The 27,323-nt window shown below is 35.9% G+C and overlaps 1 protein-coding gene across 14 annotated transcripts in view; it reads right to left on the bottom strand.

The window, feature by feature from the left end:
* The window catches only part of ITPRID2 (ITPR interacting domain containing 2), a 39,009-nt gene that overhangs the window by 1,854 nt on the left and 9,832 nt on the right, over positions 1-27,323 (bottom strand). For 2 of the 14 annotated variants that reach the window (NM_001130445.3, XM_047445597.1), the window contains 10 exons: positions 26,419-27,119; positions 18,914-18,986; positions 14,952-15,040; positions 12,458-13,669; positions 10,210-10,287; positions 10,003-10,130; positions 9,439-9,589; positions 8,223-8,288; positions 6,473-6,937; positions 607-724 (listed from right to left, as the gene is read on the bottom strand). In NM_001130445.3, the coding sequence (NP_001123917.1) occupies positions 620-724; positions 6,473-6,937; positions 8,223-8,288; positions 9,439-9,589; positions 10,003-10,130; positions 10,210-10,287; positions 12,458-13,669; positions 14,952-15,040; positions 18,914-18,986; positions 26,419-27,119 (3,068 nt within the window). In that variant the 3' untranslated portion in view covers positions 607-619. Of the gene's footprint in view, positions 1-606; positions 725-6,472; positions 6,938-8,222; positions 8,289-9,438; positions 9,590-10,002; positions 10,131-10,209; positions 10,288-10,414; positions 10,563-11,879; positions 13,670-14,951; positions 15,041-17,651; positions 17,738-18,255; positions 18,887-18,913; positions 18,987-26,418; positions 27,120-27,323 lie in introns of those variants that run through there. The other 12 variants (NM_001287503.2, NM_001287504.2, NR_109843.2 and 9 more) reach the window with 11 other exon arrangements.

Genomic DNA, 27,323 nt, shown 5'->3' with positions numbered 1-27,323 from the left:
GGAGGCCGAGGCGGGCGGATCACGAGGTCAGGAGATCGAGACCATCCCGGCTAAAACGGTGAAACCCCGTCTCTACTAAAAAATACAAAAAATTAGCCGGGCGTAGTGGCTGGCGCCTGTAGTCCCAGCTACTTGGGAGGCTGAGGCAGGAGAATGGCGTGAACCCGGGAGGCGGAGCTTGCAGTGAGCCGAGATCCCGCCACTGCACTCCAGCCTGGGCGACAGAGCGAGACTCTGTCTCAAAAAAAAAAAAAAGGAAGTTGTGATTAATTCACAAAATCTTGTTCTTTAAAACTATACATCTGAAATACCATTATAATCAAAATAAGATTCAGGTTTGAAGGTCCAATTCCAGGATTTATTACTATAATGAAATTTCAGTAGAATGACCCAATATAAGTAATTCCTTGGAGATTTGTATTATGGGATTTGACTTACACTTCAAATAGGCTTGTGTGAAATTTTCACATTGTAAAATAACATATTACATACATTCTAAAACTCAAAATTTAACTAGAGAACCAAACCTGTATACTAACAAAACAAAGAATAAAATGCCAGTTACTATTTACATTTAGCTCAACAAAGAAACTCAGAAAAATTTACCTATAATTTCTGTTTAATGATAATCTTGCTTAGAATTAGACGCTTTACTTGAAGATACTGCTGCCAAAAGTCCACTTACAATTTCCCGTCTGATTTCCCCAACAATAGACTCTTTAATCTAGATTGGAAAAACAATAAAACAAAAATTTACCAATATGAATGGAATTCATTTTTTCCTGTTTTTGGAAAAAATACAAATAGCATTCAATTTCTTAATTTCACCTTCATGTGAATCTCCCTGCAATACAGAGAGGGAGTGGGGAATCGAGTCCATCTATCATCCAACCCAGATCAGACTCCCAAGGACTGGTCTAGAATTGTTCAGCTAACTAGATTACAAATATCACAATTCATAAGGTGAGGACATTAGAAAATGTTATTTCATAAGTTAAAAAACTTCTAGTAAATACTTTACCTCATGTCAAAAAAATAATCTGGAAGGACTTCTTAAATGTTTTTAGTATTGTCTAACTTTGTAAGGTAATCAGCAGAGACACAAGTGCTCTCATTGCTGAGAAAATCTTTTAGAGGCAAAATAGTATACAGGTATACTGCCTGTTTATGCCAACTGACAGCAAGGTATCTAAAGACATATTGTTCAACCTAACACATTTAAAATGGGAAGAAGAAATTATCATTTAGTACAATTTATTTTATAATATAAAAAACATCCTCAAAACAACCATAAACTCTAAAGAAATAACTTTTTCTTTAGTTGCATGGTATCACTGCCAGCCATCTAAGCTTTTGTTTCCAATATGCATATAGGATATGAGGATATACATCTCATTTTATTGTTGGAAAAGGCAAACAGACCTGAGGAAATGACAATTCCATCAGGATTTTCTTCTACAGGTGTCCAAACACTTACATATGCCTATCTCCACCTTTTCTCTCTAATGATACAGCATCACTTTTAAATAGCCCTTTGTGAAAGCTATAAATGTGTATTTCCTGAAATAAAGTGATAATGTGTTCCCAAATAAGCACTCAAGATACTCTCAACAAGCTTTTAAAAATTCTACATTTCCAGTTTCCTGTCAGCCAAATTGATTTATTTCCTACAATGTTCCTAAGTACATCTCAAACACATCTTAACTATAATCTTTCCAAAAATGGTCCTGTATTAGTCTATCATGCAAAATTGGTACACAATACATAGATTTATACATAGTTATTTAAAGAAACAAAACACTCCTTAGCTACCAACCATCTGTACTGGAATATATTTAAATACTATAAGCTTTTCACTTTACCTTTTATCAATATTTCTAAACTTTAAACAACATCAGAAGATTCTGAAGCACACAGCACTTCAGATTTACTTTTCAAACAAGTATGTGTTGGATACAAATATTTTAAAAACCAGAATCTCTTAGTCACAGTATATAAACAGAAATACAACATACTGAATTAGGACCACTGCAAATCTATATTCACAACAATGAGTATAGTCTTTCCAGTCCTGCTACCAATGCAATATGGCCATTTTATTATATCTCATTATTCTTCATCACTCAAAAAACAAACTAGCCAAAATGTATTCTCTTTTTTTTTTTTTTTTTTGAGATGGATTCTCACTCTGTCACCCAGGTTGGAGTGCAGCGGTACAATATCGGCTCACTGCAAGCTCCGCCTCCTGGGTTCACGCCATTCTCCTGCTTCAGCCTCCTGAGTAGCTGGGACTACAGGCACCCGCCACCACGCCCGGCTAATTTTTTGTATTTTTAGTAGAGACGGGGTTTCACCATGTTAGCCAAGATGGTCTCGATCTCCTGACCTTGTGATCCACCCGCCTTGGCCTCCCAAAGTGCTGGGATTACAGGCGTGAGCCACCGCGCCCAGTCGCCAAAATGTATTCTTGACAAACCAGGAATGTGTGCCAATCTTTTTTGGGAGTACAGGCATTATTGGAATAAAGTATAAAAGAATCCCTACCATCAAGCATGATATAATCTCAATGGACACAAAATGAATACTGTTTCATAAAATATATTTCTTATTTATTTATTTTTGTGACAGAGTCTTGCTGTGTCATCCAGAGTGGAGTGTAGGGGCGCAATCTCGGCTCACTGCAACCTCTGCCTCCCACGTTCAAGTAATTCTCCTGCCTCAGCCTCCTGCATAGCTGGGATTACCACCACACCTGGCTAATTTTTGTATTTTTAGTAGAGATGGGGTTTCACCATGTTGGCCAGGCTGGTCTCGAACTCCTGACCTCAGGTGATCCGCCCACCTCGGCCTCCCAAAGTGCTGTGATTACAGGCGTGAGCCACCACACCTCGTCGGTTTCATAAAATACTAAAGGAAAAATAATTTATTGATTCATTAATGACATAAGAACAAAAAATTTTGATAAATGAGAGACTAGTGTGGGACAAAATTCTCAGAGAATGGCAGCTTTTACATGGTATGTCACAACAAAGAAAGAACAATTTCAGATGACAGTGGAGATAGAAAACTCTGTAGCAAGACGGTCTCAAATAAGAGGGGAGTATAATGGAGCCTGACTGCCAAGACAGTTCCCTCTAGAGAGCAGAAGGGAATCAGAATAGGAAGGGTGAGGTCAGATGGAAGGTGTACTGTGAGCTCCTTCAGCGAGCAGGTCAGGTCTCATTTATCAGTGTATCTCAGCATACAGTAAGAACTCAGTAAGCGTCTGAATGAATGAATCAATGAGAGAGTGAGAAAGCACAAGGGTGAGAGACAATATCAGACACAAAAAGGAAGAGAAAGCAGAAAAACGAAAGCAGACTACAGATAAAATGGCCCTGAAAATGATACAATGTCTTTATTAATTTATTGAATGAATAAATGCATGGACAAATAATTTAGTTCTAAAGTCTCCCATGCTATGGAGAGGTTGGAAGGATTAGAAGTGAGGAAACTACCCTGGGATGGATGGTAAAATTACCTTTATGAGCATAATTTCCAAAAAAATGTAGGCTAAATACAGACTACCTGAGATTGAGAAAGTCATGCTGATCGACAATACAAAAAGACTGACTACAAGTCTGAAGTATGTGGGAACACATCCACTTATTATGCACTTACTGAGTGCCTACTAAGTGGCAGCTATTACAAGTGATCACTAAAAGAAATTTCCATAAGAACACATGAGCAAGCTGTGTATTTACCAAAATACATGGGTAAAACATGTCAGACGTGCTCTAATAAAGATCCCAAAAGGCATGAATCAAGTCTATGAACTCTAATTAACAAATAACTCTCTAAACACAAAGCAATCTATGTTTACTCCTTGACATTTAATTTTGCTGAATTGGCTTCTGTGGGCATGTATTCATTCATCCTATTAAGTAATCTTTTTATTTACACACATTTATACATTTTTAAAGTAACTGCAAACAGTTTCAGGCCACTGATCACATACATCACAGATGACTTGGGCAAATTTTAAGACAGTGTGTACTTTTTTCCTAGTACAATGCACATGCAGAAAAGAGGTATCTTTAATATGACAAAAGTTTAGCTATGTAATTAGTGTATTAAATATTTGTCTGAAAAGACTTTCAATGTTGTCCTTCAAAAAAAGAATTCTACTGTATTAACACATTATAAATGATGAAAACCCTCTTTTTAAAAACCTCACTTAATGGTACAACGAAAGAAACAAAGGCCTGACAGATACCATTGTTTTCATGCATCCATGAACGCAGTAAGAAAACTTTCCTGAAAGTGCCTGCCAAACATGCTTAATCCTCACCTGCAAAACTGTTCAACCCAAGATTAAATCTTGCCTTCCTGAATGGTGGCTTTGTTAATGGGATTAGGGGCTCAGATCTGCTAGGAAGACAGAATCTAATTTAATTTTCTTGGTAGCTGTACACCAAGATTTTAAAAAATTGGAATTTAGTACAGTATGTATTTAGGTAAAAAGGTTACCAATTTGAATGACTGGAATAAAAACCAAACTAAATTTTAAATACTTTATAAACAGAAAACTATTGTAACTAAGAGAATATTAACATAATTTTTTAAATTATAACTGGCATTAAACTATTAAATATGCTTTTAAAGTACTTCAAAATAATTTGTTTTCTTAAGTACAACAATACTCCTCTTATGCCTTGTTTGATCTATACATATTTTGCTGGGTAGGCCCTTTGTAGACAGTAAAAGAATAAATGTTAAACCCAATTTCCTCAAGCCTATGCCAAATTCAGAACTAAGTAGTTTCTAATTAATGGTTTAAATAACAAATTCTGAAAAATTCTTTGAACATTTGCCTTGCATACCAGCTTAAGTGTTTGCAAATTATAAAATCTTTCATATTTAATGAGAGGTTCTTTTAAATGATTAATTCTCTAGGACCAAGGCAGCCTAATGGGAATAACTAAATTTTCTATATGCTGTGTCTTATAAGCCAAAGAATCAATGTTCTAGTCTGAAATGAACACTTTATTCTTAGGAAATCACCTACAGGACATATCAGGCCATTAAAATTCTAAAAATGAGGATTCAAGTGTGCATTGAATGGAGTATTTGTTTTAAAAGAGCAATATAAAGTTTTCAAAGAAAACTTTCATACCAAAGCAAGCTAAGGGGAACAAAACCATCACATTTCTAGAAAAAAAAAAATTACCTTAAAACCCACTTCCTCAGTTAGCAAATATAGTGTGGAGAAGAATAATTACATAATTTCACTCAAAAACTAATCTTTGATATAAAACATGTAAACAGGAATGGATTATTAATCATAGACACACCTGACCGAGTAGGGTGAATGCTGAGTTTGCTAAACATTAGGCAGCCAAAACCAATTTACAAAAATAATTACATTTGTAGGAAAAATAAATTTATAGAATTAAGACCTTTTAAACATTTAGTTGGTAGAGTCATATCATGAAAATAAATTACAGATATGAAGTCTTCTGCTATAATGCTTGTTTTGAAAATGTGATTTGATTCAACATGATTGAAATACTAGAGAACTGCATATACAGCAAATTTCACATTTGCTTATGTACAATTTAATCCACAGAATACTACTAGGTAAACAGAGATAATTGCATTGAGCTGTTTAAACGATATATTCTATTCCTTCCTATTACCTGATCTCAGTGCAAAAAACATTTATTTTACTAATTTTCTCAACTTTTGAACTTTCACTACTAATCATATGTAATTTCCTTTTGCAGTTCTTTTGGTCATCCATAACTATGGTAATTCTTCAAGTTCTTATGCTGCTATCACCTAGGGCAAACCCTCTTTTCTTCGTATATTTTGATTTTTGAATAAAAAACACCAAACCAAATCAATCTATTTATACTTATTAAAATCACAAAATCATTTTCTCCTATCAATTGTAATTATAAAATGCAGTTTCTTTTTTTTTTGAGATGGAGTCTTGCTCTGCTGCCCAGGCTGGAGTGCAATGGCATGATCTTGGCTCACTGCAACCTCCGCCTCCCAGGTTCAAGCAATTCTCCTACCCCAGCCTCCCGAGTAGCTGGGACTACAGGCACATGCCACCACGTCCAGCTATAAAATGCAGTTTTTAATCCTCGAAGAGATCTAAACTGTAAATCCTCATTTTGTAGATGTGGAAACAAGAGGTCCAAAGAGTACGTCATGTTTATTTTGAGTCCTTCACATATCTTTTTCACCATACTGAACACAGAGAATTGTAATTATTTCACATTAGAGTATGAAATTTGCAGAAATGCCATTACAAATATATCTTAATTGACACAAACTTGATCAACAGGAAAGCTAATTTAAAAGCTCTGTGAAAATTATTGAATACAGTGAATCAAAAGAACATTCTGTAAATAATTAATATTCAGACAAAATCTCCTCTAACATATACCTCCAAATAAATGAATGAAACACAGATTTTACCCACCTCCCGTATGACTTGCTGCAACTCATCTTGCTCCACATTTTTATGCATTTCCTCAGCAGCTGGCATTGATGGGAGTTTTCCATGCCCTTCTTCCACTTCAGATTTAGGTCCTACAACTTCTGGGGCTCCTTCAGCTGCATCAACTTCCTCAGAACTTTCCAAATCTGGAGGTGTCTGCACAGAGCCTGTTCTAGAAGGAGCTGTTGGCGTTAGAGCCACCGATGCTCGGAACACTTTCTTCCTTGCCACTAATGGGGTTTTGGATTTGCCCACTGAGGCAGTAGAAGGTACTCCAGTTCTTCTGTTAGCATGAGAGGGACCAGAACATACAGAAGATGATTCTGATGTTGCTTGGGAAAAAACAGATTCTGAGCTTTCTCCAGGAGGAATTTCAAATCCCATTTCTCCAAGTCCCAGGCCCAATTCAGACTTCAGGTATGACTGCTCCTGCATCAGTTCAGTGACCTGGAGATCATAAAAAAATGTTATTCTTCTCTCTTGGAATTAAGATTGGTAGCTAAAAAGGTTAAAGTCCTGGTTGTCATTATTGCCTAAAATCATGTAATTTGTAAAGACATAAATCTATTCCATTAATTTAATAACTACTCAATTTTATTTGCAAAAATGGTAAGTAAAATTTAAATTCCTATTGAGATGAAGCAACAAAACAGGTAAACAGAATACATAGTAGGATGAAATTTTACTTGTTACCACCAAAGTGTCCAAATCACTTGTAAGGAAGAGTAACTAGTGAAAAATAGTTACTCATAGTGCTTTTGCCCCCAAATGAACCAATCTGTCTAACACAATAAAGACAGATTTCTGTTAAAAACGTGGTCATGTTACAGCTCTAACTACCTAAAGAACCAGGATCAAACTGTGAAAGCACATGTCTCCTGAAATGTAAATTAAAAATCAATTTTCTTTTTTTTTTTGAGATGGAGTCTCACTCTGTCACCCAGGCTGGAGTGCAATGGCTTGATCTCGGCTCACTGCAACCTCCGCCTCCCGGGTTCAAGCAAGTCTCCTGCCTCAGCCTCCCAAGTAGCTGGGATTACAGATGCCTGCCACCATGCCCAGCTAATTTTTGTATTTTTAGTAGAGATGCGGTTTCACCATGTTGGTCAGGCTGGTCTTCAACTCCTGACCTCAGGTGATCCACTTGCCTCAGCCTCCCAAAATGCTGGGATTACAGGCATGAGCCACCACACCTGGCTTATTATTTTTTAAAGACAGGGTCTTGCTCTGTCACCCAGGCTGGAGTGCAGTGGCACAATCATAGCTCACTGTAGCCTTGAGCTCCTGGCCTCAAGCAATCCTCCCGCCTCAGCCTCCTGAGTAACTGGGACTACAGGCACATATCACCATGCCTGGCTGATTTTTAAATTTTCTGTAGAGAAAGGGTCTCATTTTGTTGACTAGGCTGGTCTCAAACTCCTGGCTTGAAGCAATCCTTCCACCTCAACCATTTAAATAAAGTGCTGGGATTACAGGCATGAGCCACTGTACATGTTTTTATGGTGCATTACCTCCTTTAGTCAGAAAGATAAATCACTATTGCAATTCAGGTGGCTTTCTAGTGGCTTCAGACAGCAATGGACTTTCAAAGGTGAAAGTCACTTCCAATCAACAATAATTTATCAAATTATGTATTTAAAATAAACATATATTTCATCTAAACTAGGGAAACTATGTGTCTGAAATGTTGTATCATTCCCTTCCCCAGTGATTTAAGAGGAAAGAAGCTTACTGGTTCCATTACATTCAATGGAGAAGGGCATGACAAGTTATCAGCGCTTCTACTGCCACACATTCCCTGAAAAGGTAAGAACAATATATATATGTATATGTGTGTGTATATATACATACATGCATATATAATTATAATGTACATATATATTTTTTCAAATCACAAGACTTTTATAATAAAATTAATTGGCTAATTAGTGCCTGGAAGCATCCCTTTATGTCACAAAGGTTACTCTCAAGTGTCACAGATCCCATAAAATGCATTATTGTGAGTTAAAACTGATACAATATGCAAAAAGGATGTTCTAGTTCTCCCGTCACCAACATACACTTCTCAGAATGATAAATCAAAACCATGTTGAAAAGTACATTCATTAGCAATACAGAACATCCTTAGTCTATGCTATACATATATGTGTTTATACACCATTGTTTATTCTACTTCATTTATAGTATATACACACATAATTGTATGTGTGTATATTCATCCATTTCTTTTTAACAAAATCAAATACATTGTTAAGGTAACAAAGAATAATTCACTATTTCAGCATTTCAAAGCAACATATTCTACAACTTCAAAGATATTTGCAAAAATAATACAACTGTTGAAGTTCAAATGTTATGGAAAGAAACATTAGAAGTATGAAAAGTGGTACAAAAACATGTTTCTTTTTATTCTCTTGGATATATATCTATATATTTAGGAAAATACATATATGTATGTGTATGTATATATATGTATGAAAATATACAGGTATCATTTGATTCCTTTAAAAACAAATGGAAAAGAATCCAAAATAAAGAAAAAGTTTAAAAGGAACACTTTTTTATTTAAAGGCATGAAAGAAAAAAAAACAGCAAAATATGCATCTGTGTTCTCTGCAGTTACATGCAACAATTAAAATTTACATTAGTCATATGTTAATTCACTAGCATTTTTCCTTTAAAAACCCTCAACTTTCGTATAAGCCCTTATTCTTTCCTGTTATTAAAATTTATCATTAAAAATTTTCAACATATTTCTAAATATACTATTTATGACAATTATTACAAATTGTACATTCAACTGATTTGTGGGAAAGCTCCTTAAACAGTATGCATGCTTTTAATACCATTAAAATAAATGACTTGAAATGAAGGCACACGTCCTAAATTATTGGAACATTATAAATAAACCTTTGGTGAAAACTCCGACCACCCTCCAGGTAGCGTACCATGAGTGCGGAGGAGCGGAAGGGTGAAGGCATGCGCACAGCACGAAGCTGCTCCTCCAGGCCCAGCAGGCGCTCCTCCAGCTGCAGTTCCAGGTCCTGAAGTTCCATTCGGACTGAATTTCTCAAACCCTGGAGCTGATCAACTTCAAACCTATTGGTATGGTGAAGGGCACAAAATTGGAAAAATGCAGTTTGGAGATTCCTAATCACAAATCTTTCAACAACTACTATATGCTAACAGAAGGCATGGAAATCTCAGGTTCTAGAAATTAGTACAATATCAACTACAATAGGTGTATCCACAAGGACATTAGTCTTTCTTCCCCTATCCTCTCACAAATATCTCAAACACGGGAAAGCAGGTTACCACTACCCTTAGGATATTGAAGGCATACAAGTTTACTTAGTAAAACACTATCTATGACTAATCTTATCTACACTGGTTCACAAAACAGATACAAGGTACACAGCAGTAGAATCAAAACCTAATTTTAAAAAATATAAGTTGAGAAGACTTTGAATGAAAAGCTTTTTGAGGTGTGCTAAGACAAAATGAACTTTTACCTCTCCTCCTCAGTCATATGATGATAAACCATGGTTTGCTGACGCAGCATTGCCAATTCTAAATCCATCATTTGTGTTCTAAACAAATTCAGGCTCCGCCTCATTACCTGGAGCTCCTGAAAAGTATTCTAGAATGCAATATAACAAAATTACACTTCTAAATTCTACAAATTATTTTGGAACACAAAGATGTAAGAAAGAACTTACTTCATAAAGAGGTAGAACAGATGATTTCTGAGTACTATATGGAGCAGCAGCAGGATCAGGTCCTCTCATCATAGGGTACTTCAAAAAAGTAAAAGTAGGATTAAAACCAATGTTAAAGTGAATACTTCCAAATCACTTAAGGGGTTAAAAGGCAGAATTTGGGGCCTATATATTTTTCTCTTTAAGACAAAAGGATCCAAAAAACCTTCATATTGTAAGCAGGAAAAAAGAAATCAGTTCCCAATGACACCTAGTACTGCTAGCTGTTCCAGGTATAAGTCAATCTACGTGGGAGGAGGAGGCGAAGGAACATAGTTCACATCTATTTCTTTCAGGACTTCCCTCTTGCGAAACTAAAAAAAAACAAAATCAAAACGCAAAAATGTAGAAGCCATTGCAAATATCATCATGAGATTATAGTGATTATTAACTTTGCTGGAGAGCAAGCAATCATTGTCGTCTTTCTCAGACATCTTAGCATTTCCTATATGCCACTATTTTAGGCAGTGAGATAAAAACATAAAAGGTATTCCCAGCCTTCAGGTGTTCTCACAGTGTAAAGAAAAATAAAGGAAATTTTAAAAAAATTCTAATACTGTGGAAGGAGTGCTATGATGAACACAGAAAAATTCAGATTACGTGAACTTTCCCAAAAGTGGTAACACTACTTGAACTGAGCCTTAACAGTAAATAGGGCTTGATTATGCAAAGAAAGGCAAAGACTGGGTGATCTCGGTTAAAAAAAAGTGGCTTATAGTCCCAGTACTTTGGGAGGCCAAGGCAGGAGGATCACTTGAGCCCAGGAGTTCAAGACTGCAGGGAGCCATGATTACACCACTGTCTCCAGCACTCCACGTGGGCGAGAAACAGAAACTTCATCTTTTTATTTTAAAAAAACAAAACACAAAATCAGCCATGTGCAGATACCTAAGAACACACAACTGTTTAGAGACCTGTGCACAATCCTACAGCTAAGGAATGAGGCTGGAGAGATAGTCAGAGACCACATCATAGAAAGCACCTGTCCACTAGTGTAGGGTGGGGTAGGCATGGGGAGATGTATTAGCTGAGTTATTGCTGGGATATCCAGGAGAAAGAGACCACAGCTGGAGCAGAAGAACTAGGTGGCCTAGAAAGATGCACCACGGTACTGGTGGACAGGGTCCTGGAAATCCCCAGCTTGACATAATCACAGCTGCAAGTTCCATCACAGACAGAACTATATTTTGTAAGGAGGAATAAGAAACACCCACATTCTGTTTAAACAGAAAACTGTTAGGGGACAATTGTCATGAGGATAAAACTTACAGTTAAGAGGAGGTATATCTTATTATAACTTGAGAAGTTACACCTTTGATTTTTACTTTCCAAGTGGCTCCCTGTCTACTATGTCATGATAAGAGGTCTATTACATTCATTCTAGGCCTCCTGACTCTTTGTTGAATGCTCTCATGACTATATTACATTGTCATTTTCTTCAATCCCTCAATTGTCTAAACATGATTCATTCAGAGAGAATGTTCAAGAAAATGTAAAAGGCAAAACTGAAGACAACGTACTTATTTTCAAAATTTTTTTGGGAAAATTATTTCCAGTCTACTAACAAATCTGAGAATGACTTTAAAAGTGACAAGACATACAGAGCATTTTAAATCAAATTCACACTTTACCTGATTTGTTATTTTCTGGTCTGGAGTAGTTCCAGTCTTTGAGTCCAGTGGAAGTAGACTAACTCTGTGCACAGCATCGAGGGTCAGTAGGTGAAGGGGAAAGCTTAGTCAGAGAGCTACGAGCAGAACCAGGAGAACGTGGTGCCACAGAAGCCAACAGGGAGAAAACTTGGAAAAGGAAAAGGTAGTCAACATGTTCAAATAGCAGAGAGAAAGAGAGAAAGAACTTTAAGAGGGAAGATTTTTTAATAATAGAAATGACAAAAGATTCTAGACTAAAACAAAGACAGTGGATGATAGACTAAAAATGGGAGGATACTTAACGAGAAAAATCTCTCCTCTTGGAAAGGAGACAGACTTGTGAGCAGAGAAATCGACTTTGATCAGGGTTAGTTACAGCTTCTCCCTTGAAACAGGAGGGAAGATAGAAAACGAAGGCAGATGCAGATTAAGTTTAGACATGTCAGAAAATAAAGCTGAGGTAGTTCATACTTGATGTGCCTTAGCTTCTCTGTGAATTAAAAAGTGCTCAGAGCAGTAAAAGAAAAAAGCTAATGATAACATACTTTTTCTCATACCTGTGAAAGATTCTGCAGTGAGTTTCTAATATCATGTAATACTCTTCGCAACTGCATTTCTATGGCTGAAGGAGGATTCACAGAGCACACTCGGTAAGGGTAGGTGGCATGTCTATGTGAGTAAGGACACCCGAAAGGGGAAGCGAAGGCACTACAAGTAGCCCCTGATATGTTGGGAACACTGTGAGTGCTCAGAGTTCTTGTGTGCTCACACAGGGGCCTTTCTTGCCACTCAGAGTGGATGGAATGAAGGGAACAGGTAGACTGAGACATTGGTGGTGGAGCAAGCCGTGAACAGGTAGGAGTCCTTCCATGATGGCATTCCTCCACCCGCGGCGCCTCACTCTGGGGGGCTTCTTCTTTCTTCACAGATGATGGAGAGATGAAAATGGTCGATTTAACTAAAGACTGACCATCATGTTCCATCACCCGCTTTTCCAATTCCTGCTCCTCTTCAGGTGTGTACTTATAGGTGAAGGAAGGTGGGCTGCATCTGGTCTCTTTTCCTGGAGATAATCGAACATTGACAGAGGACACAACCCTTACTGGGCTCAATAAGGTGGTTGGTAAAGACTGAGACCTTCTTAGAGGATAGCCAGCTTTTGCAAATAAGTACCTTTGTTTTAACAAATCTTTTGATTTTAGCAGGCTACGCCCCATCCTTTGATTAGACAGACTGCAAACCTTCATTTGAGCTCTTTGCAAAGCTGTATTAACTCTGTCCATGGAAGAGGGAGGCCCAGTTGTATTTTCAGAGCTCATATCACTGCATTTAGCTTCAATAGAAGCCAATGATTTCAGAATATGGTGTGTGGTATACTGAGTAAATTCACTTTCACTGCTTTTACCCACATCACTTTCAGCACTTGCTTCCCTCAGTAGCTCTACTGTCTCTGCTGGAAACAAATCCTCTTCCACTTCAGTAATTTCAATGATATGATCCCCTGGACTACAGGTGGACTGTTTAGTTCCTGTATTCTCAATGGTGTTGCACTGAGGGAAATCCTGGCTACCTGATTTTCTTTTGTCTGCAACTGCTGCTGCCTTCTCTAGTCCCTTCTGAAGAGGGACAAGAGACTCCTCCTCTGATTCATTAAAATAAGGCTGGTCTTGTGCTGTTGGTGTGGCAAGGTCTTCACCAAGTGACGTAACTGTTGTCTCACTGTCACAACTATCAGCACTACTCCCCATAGCCTGCAAGGACTCCTGAACCTGTGAAAAGAAAATAGGTGGAAAGATGAAGAATATATGTAAGAAGAGTCACTAACAAAATACCAAACCAACATGGTGCTTCTATAATTTCACTGTCTCCACTGCAGTTGTGGCCCTGCTGTTGCTCAAAATTGTTTTATTGCTCCTGAGCAGCAACCACATCCCTCCTTCCTCTCACTTTCTCACAAAGATTATTTCAGAACTTCACTGTTTTCCTAAAATTCCCTTTCCAACAACCTCCCCCTTTCCTTTCAATACAACACACTGACTCATAGAGAAAATGGACAAACACTTCCTAACATTCTTCCCCAACATCTAAAAACTTCCTTGTATCTCTCCCCATCATTCCCTCCTTCTCTCCATTCTGAAAGGAAACTCAAAGCGAATCCCTCCAACCTGGGTTCCTGATCATATCCTCTCCAAGACCAGGGTATCTCTCCAGTTTCAGCCCGGATTTTTCTGAATCAGTTCTTCTCTTACGGTTATTTCCCTTAGCTGAACACTTTCCCCAAGTCATTTCATGTTATTATAAAAGGACAAAAAGACCCCTCACTCTTAAGCTATCATTCATATTTGAAAACCAGTCAACATTCCTATCTTTTCTTCCATACCTTCTGAAAGTTTCTCCTCCATCTCCCAGTGTTTCTGTTCACTTAATTACTCTTTCTCAGTGAACTTACATATGCCTCTTGTCTGTTTACCCCTTAAATGCTATGTTCCTAAAGGCTCTTTGGGAGTTTTCTCATCCCAATTTTCTTTAGAATTTGCTTAAAAAATGTTTCAAATGCTTTTTCTGTGCATTCTGTGTACTCTACATATAGACTATATGCTTCTTGGGGATAAAGATGTGCCTGTTCTCTGGGTTATCTCACACAACCTAGTGTAAAAATCAGTATAACACTCAGCAAGCTATAGGTCCACAATTAATGTCAGTTATTAAATAGGCAAAACAATTACTGTAAAATAATGAAATATAATGATGGTTAAAAAAATAAGAAAAACAACAGACAAAACAGGTTAATGATCACAATAATCTCTGTTTACTGGTGGTCCAAAAATTAAGGGGAAGATAGATATTTTTAAAAACATATTCAGAGAGAAGAATTAATGAAATCTAAAATTTATAGTCAAATGCTTAGATAACATCTACATGCCAGGAGTTTTGTTCTGTCACTTGAAAAATAAAGATTATACAGACTCAATATTAAAATATATAGTAATACAAAAACCACCTTAAAATGAGGAAGTTAATCATAGTGCCTATTAGAACAGAAAATTTTACCTGAAGATGATTAAGGGATAGGCAGTCTGTAGAATCTTCAGCAAAACCACTGCTATCGGAATGCTGACTTGCAGTACGTAACAGATGATCTATGAATAAAAAAATGTGGCTATAAGAAACAGATGATCTATAAATAAAAAAAGTGGCTATAAGAAATTACTGAGAGCAATATTACTACAGAGATATGATTCCCAGCAGATATAAGATACACAATATTTGACTGCTTCTTAGAAAAATATGCATTACTTATGCAAAATTATGTCTTCAAAGTACAGGAGGTAACTCAAATTCAAACAAAAACTGTATCAGATCTTCTATTAGAATCTCTCGGTATTCGCTCATTAATTAAGCTCTAATTATAATCTATTTTGGTAAATCCAATCAATGTTTTATCCTTGGAGGAAAACTGAAGTAAAAGATGGCTCTAATAAAAACAGAAGTCCCAAAGTAAACCATTTCCATTATGTAAATATGTAAAGATATTTAGGAGGTAAATTTAGAAGTTCATATAGAGAGCATAGTGTGTAAAGATTTCTATTATCTTCCCAATTTAAAAAACACAGTTAGGGCTGGGCGCGGTGGCTCATGCCTGTAATCCCAGCACTTTGGGAGGCTGAGGCGGGCGGATCACGAGGTTAGGAGATCGAGACCATCCTGGCTAACACGGTAAAAGCCCGTCTGTACTAAAAATACAAAAAATTAGCCAGGCGTGGTAGCGGGTGCCTGTAGTCCCAGCTACTCGAGAGGCTGAGGCAGGAGAATGGAGTAAACCTGGGAGGTGGAGGTTGCAGTGAGCCAAGATTGTGCCACTGCACTCCAGCCTGGGCGACAGAGCAAGACTCCGTCTCAAAAAAAATAAATAAATAAATAAATACAATTAAGGCCAGTAAATTAAATAATCTGAAATGCAAGCATACTTAAATGTCTCTGGTGTTTTATGATGTTTTAAATGATGCAAATGTATAAGGTATGAAACAATTCTTTCATAAAAATTACATAAAACTCAACCAAATAGGTTCAACTACAACATAATATTGTTAATCTTATAAAATCTTTCTGCTTATTTTTCTGCCTCAAAATTCTAATTCCTGGTTAGTATGATCTATAATGTTTTACATAAGTAAAAAGGCCAACTAAGCATAGCAAGTATGTTCACATTCTATCCACACTACAACTACCACAATGGGAGAGACTGTACAGTTCTTACATTCATCAAGGCAGAAGCTTCAAGAGACAGCAAAGTTCTGCAGAACTTCAAAAGCAAAAGGCTAAATAAAGTGTGTTTACCAAAACCATATTCATTTAAGATATGAACCACATAGAAAAAGAGCCAGATAATATAATTAAATAAAATTTAAAATCTATTAAAGTCAACTTGGTTTGAAAAATACCCCACTATAGACTCAGTTTCCATGGAATACATTTTTCCCATTAAAAATTTAGAATAATTTTGTAATATCATTTTGATAGTAACAAGACTGCAAAATGAAATATAAGGAATTATTCCATATCCTTGATAAGCCTACGTAAATTGGAATACTTGTGAAACTGAACTGCAATAAGCTGTTACCACCAGTACTGATAAGGCATTATATTCTTGGTAAAATGATTAACATCTTATGCTATAGCAGTTATCACTATAATTACGTATTTTCATATCTTTAAACTAGATTGTGAGCCTTTTGAAGGCAGAAACTATTCTTCTTTGTATCCCAGTACCTAGAATAAGCTGAGAATAAATGTTTGCTGACCTCAATCAATGATACCCATTTCCTTAAAGCAACAAAAGAATAATGCAGTCATTTAAACGATTTAGAAGTGAAACTGTCTATCTGGCTAGGCAAGGGCAGGTGCCTGAGTGCAGGGAAGACAGAGTGAGCAGCTCTGACTGGTTCTCTCTGCTAAGGTATGTTTTATCTGCAAGAGAGTACAGTCTGCCAAGTTCACCTCACAGTTGCTAAGCCCTGTCTAAGTACACAGTTTGGGTCATAATGCAGGTAGACTGCTCAGACTTCAGAGCAGGTTTGGGGCAATGGGTAAAACAAGGAGGCCTGGGTTCAAGTTCTTGCTGTGTTTCTCGTCATAAGCAATATAGCTTCTCTCCTCTGCAAAACGAGATAATAATAATTCTTCTATCTATCTCACAGGGCTACTTCAGAAACTAAGTAGAATGTAGGGGAAACTATTTTGTAAACCATAAATCACAATCTAGGTTCTTTAGTCAGACACTTCTGTTTCCAAAAACACAGTTCTCAACAGAAAAAGATGGAACTATAAAAAAGGATTAGATCTCTGTCCTAAAGATACAATATATGATTTCTAATTAAAAACTAGGAAGTTAGAGGAAACATTAAAGTGAGAAAAAAATCTGGAAACTTTGTCTAGTATCATCATAAAGAAACCAAACAACTGTCTATCTATTCTCTCCTAGACTAAAGAAAATATTGTATGTCTTCTTTAATAAGAAAAATGTTGAACTTTTCTCAACATAACTACCGAATGCTAACTTGTAACAAACATTAAGTCACTAAACCTCTCTGGGCTTCAGTATGTAAATCTTGGACTGGATTTGAGATTAAGATAATTTTGATTTCAAAAGTCCTATTATCAAACTGCTATATGCATTTTTCCTAAACTTTTGAAGTAAATATATTACGAGTGTTTCTAACTCTACAGTTATGATCAATCTAAGATACTTACATAGGATATAGGATACTTTTCAAGATGATGAAAACTATGTTGTTCTCTCTTCTCTCTCATGCACACAGACACACAGAACCATTTTACTGTTACTTTATAAAAATCTGACTAAGAAAAGGAAAAAACCCAGATATGAATATAAACCACATCTAATCATTCCTACTACAGGGATCTTGCTCTTAAAACACCTTAAAGTAATTTTATTGTTTTCTTATCCTCCTTTTAATGCATGGCAAGCTGCTTTTTCCAATGTATCCCCTGTCTACCTATCTAAAGCAAACACTTCTTGATGACCATGAACTCAGCTCAGAAACACATACATAAATTTATGAACTTACAAGGGGAAGAAAATTAAATAGTAAAGTTCAATTTTGAGTCTAACCAGAGCTGCAGTGACCGAGTGAGAGTGAAGCTCTTGTTTCTTAATACCATATTGCAATAAAAGAAAAAAATTTATGCAAATTGTCTCCTGTGAAGTAATTTCAGAGATCAGGAGACAACAAACATGTAATTTCCTATTCTAGGAACATACATACGAATCTTTGTTTAAAAAAAAAACAGGGTGGTTCAGCATGTGTAAAGTTTCAAAAATAAACAGTCCTACCTTCAGTGGTCATTTTCACTTCTTCCTCTTTCCCTTTCTCTAAAGCTCAAAAGTTTTGTAAATCCAAAGATCACACATTTTTGTTGTTGTTGTTGTTGCAAGTTAAAAGTGAAAGGGATGGATTCAAAGGTTCTTTGGTCAATAATTAATAATTTAAGAGAGGAACAGTATCTACAACCACTCACCTTCGACCCATAGTTTGAATTTAACTAGCTTTAACTATTGCTAAAAAATTGGTGGGTTTTGCTAGAGGAATATTCATGTGTTATACCTAGGAGCTATATTTATATAGTGAAACACCAAAGATAGATAATACCAGTATATTTTTCAGTCATAACAATGTAAAAGGTAGTCTTAATCCATTGCTCTATCACTTCCCAACTAGCTCTTATGCAATAGTGTAAAATACTTAGAGCACACACAATTGTGTAATGAGGTCATTCCAGAATAAGCAAACTAATTAGCAAACTAATTTTTAAAAAGTCTTTTAAAAAATACAAAAAAAGTTCTACAAACAATAGTGAATCATGCCTACCTGTGTGTGTTCTTTGCCTTTTCACACTCATAAATACTACAAATACTGATACATAAAACCCCTTTTCCAAATCAACTAATATTTGATAATGTGCTCAGAACTAGTGGATACTGGTCCACTTACCTCTTTTCGACTTCGTAAGACCTAGCTGGTAAGTGGCTGGAACATGAGGAGCTTCTCCCTCCGTACTTTGAACCTTAAGAAGAGTTTTAAGTAGTTAAAACCAAATGAATCTAAGGCAAACAAGTATAACTTCTTGAATAAATATCTATTAAACAAATCAACCTAACTCAAGTGCACCAAAACATTATATATATATTCAAACTTTAAGAAATCTGACCTCAAAATTATTAGAATGCTCCACAACTAAATTTTCTGATCTATTTTCCAGTTAACAACAGCACTCAAGTTTGTAGCAAAGAAAAATAACTGATGGAAATTAGTGCATCAGACGTGCACTAGCTTCCATCATTTTACCCTGTAACGGTTAGTTCTTAAATAGTAAAGAACATCGTAGTCAAGTGTGCAAACTAGCCCAACATATGGGTTTTCAACCTTGAATAAATTTTAATAACTGCTTCATTCAAAAAAAATGTTGCTATTATATGAAAAACAGATCCATAAGGAAAAGTTCTCTATACGTTAAACTTCAAAGTAGGGTAAATCCCAGGAGAAACACTAATACACTCACTACAGCACATTATGACCAACACACAGTTGAGGTAATTATAAGTCTCGCATCTTTGAAAATAGAACACAGTGCTACCACTGCAGAATTTCTAAACTCCCCCAAACTTTCAGGTATCAAAAATTGCTCAGGTTTAAGACTGCTTTGTCCTGAAATTCTTTCAAGACATAACTTGGGAGCTGTATGTGGAAAAGCAGGTTTCATTACAGAACTAAAATAATGAAAGATATTAACCATAAATCTTCCCTGAAAACACTGTTCAAAGAACATATCAAACTTAGTTGTCTTTTTGTGTTTATTTTTCTATCTGCACAAGTACATAATTTAGAAATTTTCAGATTCCTAAATCACCACCTCCACCCCACAAACACTCTGTCTATTCTAACATAATTAACTCTATGTCAACATTAAATACATAGGGAATGGGCAAGATGCACGGTAATTTCTGTCACTTTACTCTGTAATGATTGGTTCTTAAATCATAAAGAACATCCTAGTAAAGTGTGGTACCTAGCTGAACATATGGGTTTTCAACCTTGAAAAAAAAAATCAAAGCGCTAATAGTTAACACATTTTAGGGAAAACTCTGGTAGTTTTTAGTTATGAAGCTATTCAAGAATAAGAAATATTCCAAAGGAATAAGAGTGAAATAACCAACATTTTTAAAAGCCCAAAGGTTAAAGATAGTATTACCCAATTTAAAATTTGCTCTAATTTGTGATTTCTTTGCTCTACATAGCTCCAGGAACCGAAGTTTATGAATCTTTTGAAAACTGAAAGCACACTACTCATGCAAAACCATCACCTGTAGATCAGATATATAAAAATAGATTCTACTATTCTTTGTTATCTTGTTAAAATTAGAATAATTCTTCAAAGCAGCAGATACATGTTCAACAGGAAAACCATTGTCTTGTATGCAAGGGAACAATGTGCGTTTTCTTTTTATATTCAATAAAATGTCTATTATTAGCTTCTATTCAGGCTCGGTCTACTTCAAGTATCTTTCTGTAAAGTAAATATCAACCAGATCAAAAAATTATAGCAGAATTCCAATGCCTCTGCATTTATGTTCTAGGAATACTGGCTCAGGCACAGCATTAATATACCAAATCTCTCACTGTCATGTTTTTTTTAAATTTAATCTATTTATTTATTTTGAGACTGGGTTATGAGACTGGGTAATTTTTGTATTTTTGGTAGAGATGGGGTTTCACCATGTTGCCCAGGCTGGGGTCTCAAACTCCTGGGCTCAAGCGATCCACCTGCCACAGCCTTCCAAGTGCTGGGATTAAAGGTGTGAGCCGCCGCACCCGGCTGCTCACCTTTAAACACAGAATTATCACATATTCTATTTCCTTAGACTTATGAAATTAATCACAAAATAACATGACTTTAATAAACACATATCATCAGCATTCTATTCTTCAAGATGCTACTCAATGGCAAAAACAAATCTACTCTCTCCTTTTACTACAAACTCCATAATTAAGTGCAAGAAAGGAGCACTTCAAAAAGCTGAGACAGTCACATTTTACTAATAAAACTAAAGTTGGGATTCTTCTTGTTTACTCAGCAAAATCAGAGTACCCACTTGCTGAAGAGAGAAACATACATGCTAGTGATAATGGGTGAATTTCTTATTTTATTATTGGTCACAATTGTGCAAAAGGCGGCAGTCAAATTTGAGATGGGGTACACCACAGAGAATTATGAAGCAAATATAGAACACAGAATTTAGATTTATGTGACAAGATTTTCCCTATTCAGTGGTTTCAAATGCTCCGTAGAATTCTGGTCATTTGCTATAAGCAGCCTTTCATAATTAACAAGAATAGCCAAATAAAACTGAATTAGAATGATGAGTAATGGGTGTTCATGATATTATTTTCTCTAATCTTCAAGTAAGTTTGAAACTTTTCATAACAAAACTGTTTCATAATATAAAAAAAAAAAAAAACCACTAAACCAAAGTGATAAAATTGCATGGTCTCAATGTTTTGGGATTCAAAGATGAAAAACAGCTTTAGAATAACCCACACATTTGGGTTACTTCATTTAAAAAAGTTTTCATGAAACAATGACTGTATCTTTCTAAATCAATGTTCTGCTAAAATGACAGGCACTCACTTTGGTTTCTTTCTCTTGTTTAAAAAATGTACTTTTTGTTTCAGTGAACCACTTTGGTTTCTTAACAGCTGTCATGTTTACCTTGACTAAGAGGGATCTTCTAGGCACAATACTACTGTATTGTATTGCACAGGACAGCAATACATGGATGTTCTAACTCAAATAACCCTTCCTCTAAAGTTTAAAAAGAGACTGTATAGCTGTCATCATTGAATAAACATTGTATATCAAAATGGTTTTCAAAGAAAATCAAAACTAGAGCTTTAGAAATTACAATTCTGTCTAATTTTTAATGACAGCTCAAAAAAATGTCAGAGGAAATCATTCTTTTTCCAAAGTAGTAGCATGGTGCTGTGCATCAGATGATTAGTTCTTGTACAATGCCTGACCATACCAACATATCTGACCTTCACCAAGTTGTATAGTATAGTCACAAGTAACGTGAATTCAAGTCTTATTCATGCCACTTACTGGCTAACGGCCTCTGACAATTATCTGCGATAAATATCCGTATTTTTTTTTTTTATTTCATTTTTTTGAAACAAGGTCTCGTTCTGTTGCCCAGGCTGGAGTGCAGTGGTGGAATCATGGCTCACTGCAGCCTCAACTGCCTGGGCTCAAGTGATTCTCCCACCTCAGCCTTTGGAGAAGTGGGACTACAGACATGCACCACCATGCACGGCTAATTTTAAAACTATTTGTAGAGACAAGTCATGCTATGTTGTCCAGGCTGGTCTCTAACTTCTGGGCTCAAGTGATCCTCCTGCCTCAGCCTCCACACAGTGCTGGGATTACAGGTGTGAATCACCATGCTCAGCCTCAAAATTAAAATTAACAGCAAAATTAAAATTAAAATTTCTACCTCATAGGTCCTTGGGGTGATCAAATGTAACTGTAAGTCAAAGTACTTTCAAACAGTAAAGTAGTAAGAATGTACAACAGGAGATCCTCCTCTGCCATCCTCCACTGACACCCGCTGTGCTCCTTCCCCCTGTGAAGCACTGATATCAAAAGGAATATTATAGCCCTCAGAAAGATGGTGAAGAACCACTGCTATAAAACAATATCAAATGAGGGAGGGGATGCTTCCTCATTTGTAAAGGGAAGAAACTAGAAAATGAATAAAGTATCTCTTTCCGTACTAGTTTATGATTCTATAAATTACTTGCAAATGTTTATCTTAAACAAATACTATCGAGTTTTACACATACACACAAAAATATCATTTATTTTTACTGTCAGGTAAATTTTCAATAAAAATTGACTAAGGTCTTTTAGGTAAATATCAAATAACAAAACAGTGGTTAATTGGGCTTTAGAGTAGCAGATATCTGTGCATGTCATATGTTAGAGTTCATATTCCAGGGCAGGCTTATCTTCAAAACATACACAGTTACATTTAAAAGGCCAAAGGAACAACTTAATTATCTGTCAAATATCTGACTGATGTGGGATTATTTTAACTCAGACCAATAAACATAGAAAAATCCTAAAACTTAACAGCTAAAAATGAGAAGTCAAGTACATTAGTTAAATCAATAATTAGTATGAAGACAGGATTAGAAACAGTTACTAACACATCAGTAGCTTAAAAAAGATTATGTGTATATCCAATAATGGTTATATTTAAATAAAAATTCATTTAAAGGTCAAGAAGACCACACAGTCAACTTCTTACAGAAATGCTGAGATAAAAGTTCTCCTTCTTAAGTTTTTCCTTTACATCTAAAAGATGAACATCTGCTTGAGAAGGATCATTTTGGTTTAACTTGTGAATCATTCACACTACTAATCTATGGCTTCAGAGAGTTACCATGACGTATTCAAAATAAGCCATTCAAGAAGAACACAAGAATTAATGAAGCAAGTCATTTGGAATAATTAGAAATTCAAGAACAGGATTTAATAACTTTTTATAAATAGTTATAGGCTGGGTGTGGTGGCTCACACCTGTAATCCCAGCATTTTGGGAGGCCGAGGTGGTCAGATCACGAGGTCAGGAGTTTGAGACCAGCCTGGCCAACGTAGTGAAACCCCATCTCTACTAAAAATACAAAAAATTAGCTGGCTGTGGTGGTATGTGCCTGTAATCCCAGCTACTCAGGAAGCTGAGGCAGGAGAATTACATGAACCCAGGAGGCAGACGTTGCAGTTAGCCAAGATTGCACCACTGCACTCCCGGGTGACAATGCGCGACTCCGTCTCAAAAAAAAAAAAAAAAGAAAAAACATCGTTATAAACATTCATAACTATTTTAAACAGTCTACAAGACACTTTATAAGGCAAGTTGACTTTTAACTGAAAGTCTCTGGCCTTTTCCTTTTCTAACATAAGAAACAGACACTTCATTGTACCAGGCCAGGAGCAGTCTCATCATCTATTTAGCTCTCTTTACATTTAAGTATTTTGTCTCTTTGCTTCTGGTGACTGTTGGATCTTACCTCTTGTCTCAGATGGATTAGGCAGCTTCATGCAGTCAACATATCTGCAACATTTTCTCCTTCCTAGCTTCCTAAAGCAGCTCATGCTCAGATAATGTTTCTGAGAACTGATTTACTGAGACAGAGGGAGCTCTAACTTATATTTACTCATGGTTTTCACAAGAAGAAAATTCCCAGCAAGAATCAAACCTCATGGAAAGAGGTCCAAAAGAAAAATAGCAACAAACTACACTGAATAGGATCTAAAAGTCAGTTTCAATAAGATTGTTCTCTTCATTTGTCAATATGATTCAAGTGTTTGGGAGAAGAGGAAATTAAAGTTAACACATTATTTCCTTTATCCATTGTTCTACAAGCTCTCTTTAATGTTCCCTTAGGGATGAAAACACACTTCCAGGAGGTTTTTATCCATATTTTAAATATATCTGAAGATACATTATTTTCTTTAAAATTCCCCATATTTACAATGTAGCTGTGGTCGACCATAAATTCATTTAAAAAAAAAATCTCCCATTATTCTTCCACCAATGCATGTAATCTTGTACTTCAAAAAAATGTTCACGTCAATGCTACATTGCTTTCTTCATTAACCTTTTTTGCCAGTAGAGGGGGCAAAAAACCCCCAGACTATCATTAAAGGTTAACTTGCCACAAAAGTACATCTAGCACTTTATAAGTGTTTAAAAAACCTTTTGTGTATGGCATCTTAAAAAATTTTAAAAACTACAGCTTAGAATTCAGGAATTTTAGAAATTAAAAATAAACTTCCTTGACTTCTTTGAAGAGTGACTTACTTGAAAATATGAGTGTTGTTCACTCGGAGTCGCCAATATCAGATTTGCAATTACCTAACATAATTTGTTTAGATCTTTATGCTCTGCTATTGTATTAAACAAGGAAATTAACTGCCATATCTAATTGTCATAGAAGAGGGCCCTAATGGTAGGCAAAAATTTACACTTTAATTATGAGTGCTGGAACAAGTTTAGACCAAAACAAAGTCAAAAAGTTATCAGAGTGAAAAAGAACAAACAGAGGTTTTAATGTAGTCATCACAGTCATCTTCCATACTCATTACGATGAGAAATAAATTATACCAGGAGGTAAAAAGATAGAAGAAATATAAACATATACAAAGAAATAAAAGAAAAAAAGCTCAAAATGTAAAATATTCCAAGGTGCTGCTCCTACTCCCTTTTTATTTCACTATTCAGTTGTAATTAAAGTATTAACAGACCACAAAAAGGCAAAAATCTGTATCAGCAACTGAAATTTTACAATAAATGAAAAATCTTCACTAATCTGAGGGAGGGAGGGAGGGAGCAAGAGAGAGAGACACTCACCTAAGAGGACATTTATGAGCTGAATCAATTATTTCATTTTCTAATTCCCTAAAATAATGGTGTGTGATGTTAAAACTACTGTGAACTATTACTAAAACGCATCTAATGTAATAAATTACAAAAGACAAATTGCGCATTATATAATTTATAGCCACAACTCTTCATTAGCATACATATGCCTCAGTTTCCTCATGTATAAAATGAGACCACTACCATGTGCCTCACAGACTGCAATGAAGTACTTCAAGAGCCAAGAACAGTGCCCAGCACAGGGTAGATGCTTGGTAAAATCAGTTTTCCTGCCCCAAGCTATTCAGCTCCTACTATTCAGAAGCAGTTTTAGCTGAACCTCATTCAAAATAAGTATCTTTTATCTTTTCCAATTAAAAATTTATGTTAACTATCAGGTATATTACTGGACACAAATAACAAGTAACCAAACATTGGTCTTTTGGGCTTGCAGAAACCCTATTCAGTGGCCTTTCAAACCTGCTAATTCTAGGGTCCCTATCCTCCCCATGCAGGTACGTAATATCTTCATGTTCTTTCCAGTCATATAACAAGAACTATCCCCAAAGCCGCCTTCACATATCCTTACCACTGAGATATGTTAAGAAAAGCTTGCCCAAAGGCATACAGTCATTCAGTGGCAGACAAAACTCAAAGCCCTGTTTGATTTCAAAGCCTGTGTTTCTAACTATTATGCAATATTGCTTTGAATTTAAATATACTCTCTCAGGGCTTTCTTGAGCATCAAAATCTTACCCTTGAGAGAGAAAAGAGGGTTAAGGTTCAAATATCAACTAGTGGATAAAGATCTGGAGGAGTTACTGAACTGTCCCATTACCTCGACATCACATTATCCTGAGACCAATTCTTGGTTTGTGAAACATAAACCTGGAAAGTCAAAATTAGAATAAATTTTTCTAGTATAAATCTATTAGCTACCTCTCATTTTATAAGCATTTTTGGTACTTTTTTTCCTAGTCTGCAACTTGAAACCAGTCTCAGTAATTTTTTACCTACCTCTTCCATTTCGAAGGAGTCCTTCTGCTGTGTCATTATATTTCTTATGGATGGTATTGTCAGTGGTGCACAAGGCTCTTTTTCAGGTGTGGATATATGGACACTTTTCAGCTCACTGCTATTTTCCAGCTCACTGTGGCTGGATATGTTGAAATCACTATCTAATTTGGATTCTACAATACCAGATTCCTCACCCAGTTTACTCTCATGACTTTGAGTTTCTTTACTTTGTTCATTTTCAGTTCCTTGGTTAAAATTACTATTTGCTTCATCAGAAATTCTATCACTATCAGCATTCTCCGTAACAGCTGCTGAACTACCAGAGACTTCTTCTTTAACTGTAGCCAACATAGAAGATGACTCTTTCTTCTTCATAATTTTTTGAGACTTTTGATCGTTTTTATTGCCACTTTCTTCAATCACTGAAACATTTAGAATCTTTCCTTTTTCAGCTGATGGAGAAGGACTACTACTTTCTCCTTTCTCTGTTTTATCAACACATAAATTCAGTTTTGAGAGTGTTTTCATTAAACGATTTGCAGTGTTACTTCGAGTTAAAGGTGGAGGTGGGTCTGTCTCCTTGTTAGAGGTCACTGAGGACATACTTCCAATTCTCTGCAGGGGCGTCCCGGAGACTTGAGAATATAAAGAAGAAAACGCATTGGCCACAGTAGTAAGCACTTCAATTTGACGAAAACGGCCTACCAAAAGAAACAATATTAATGATATGTTTATATTTATATATATACATACACATATATTAAATGCATATTATTGTTTAGAATTCCAAAAACTACACTTAGATCACAAAGATTATAAAACCCTATTTTTTCCTCATCTAACACTTAAACCTTCTCTACATTCACTGGGTGGGAAGGAGCAAGATTTTTACTCTAAGCACTAGA

This window comes from Homo sapiens, chromosome 2 (genome assembly GCF_000001405.40).
Source record: "Homo sapiens chromosome 2, GRCh38.p14 Primary Assembly".
Taxonomy (NCBI): domain Eukaryota; kingdom Metazoa; phylum Chordata; class Mammalia; order Primates; family Hominidae; genus Homo; species Homo sapiens.
The sequence above is the reverse complement of the archived record's forward strand: the minus strand, read 5'-3'. Positions and strand labels throughout refer to the sequence as shown.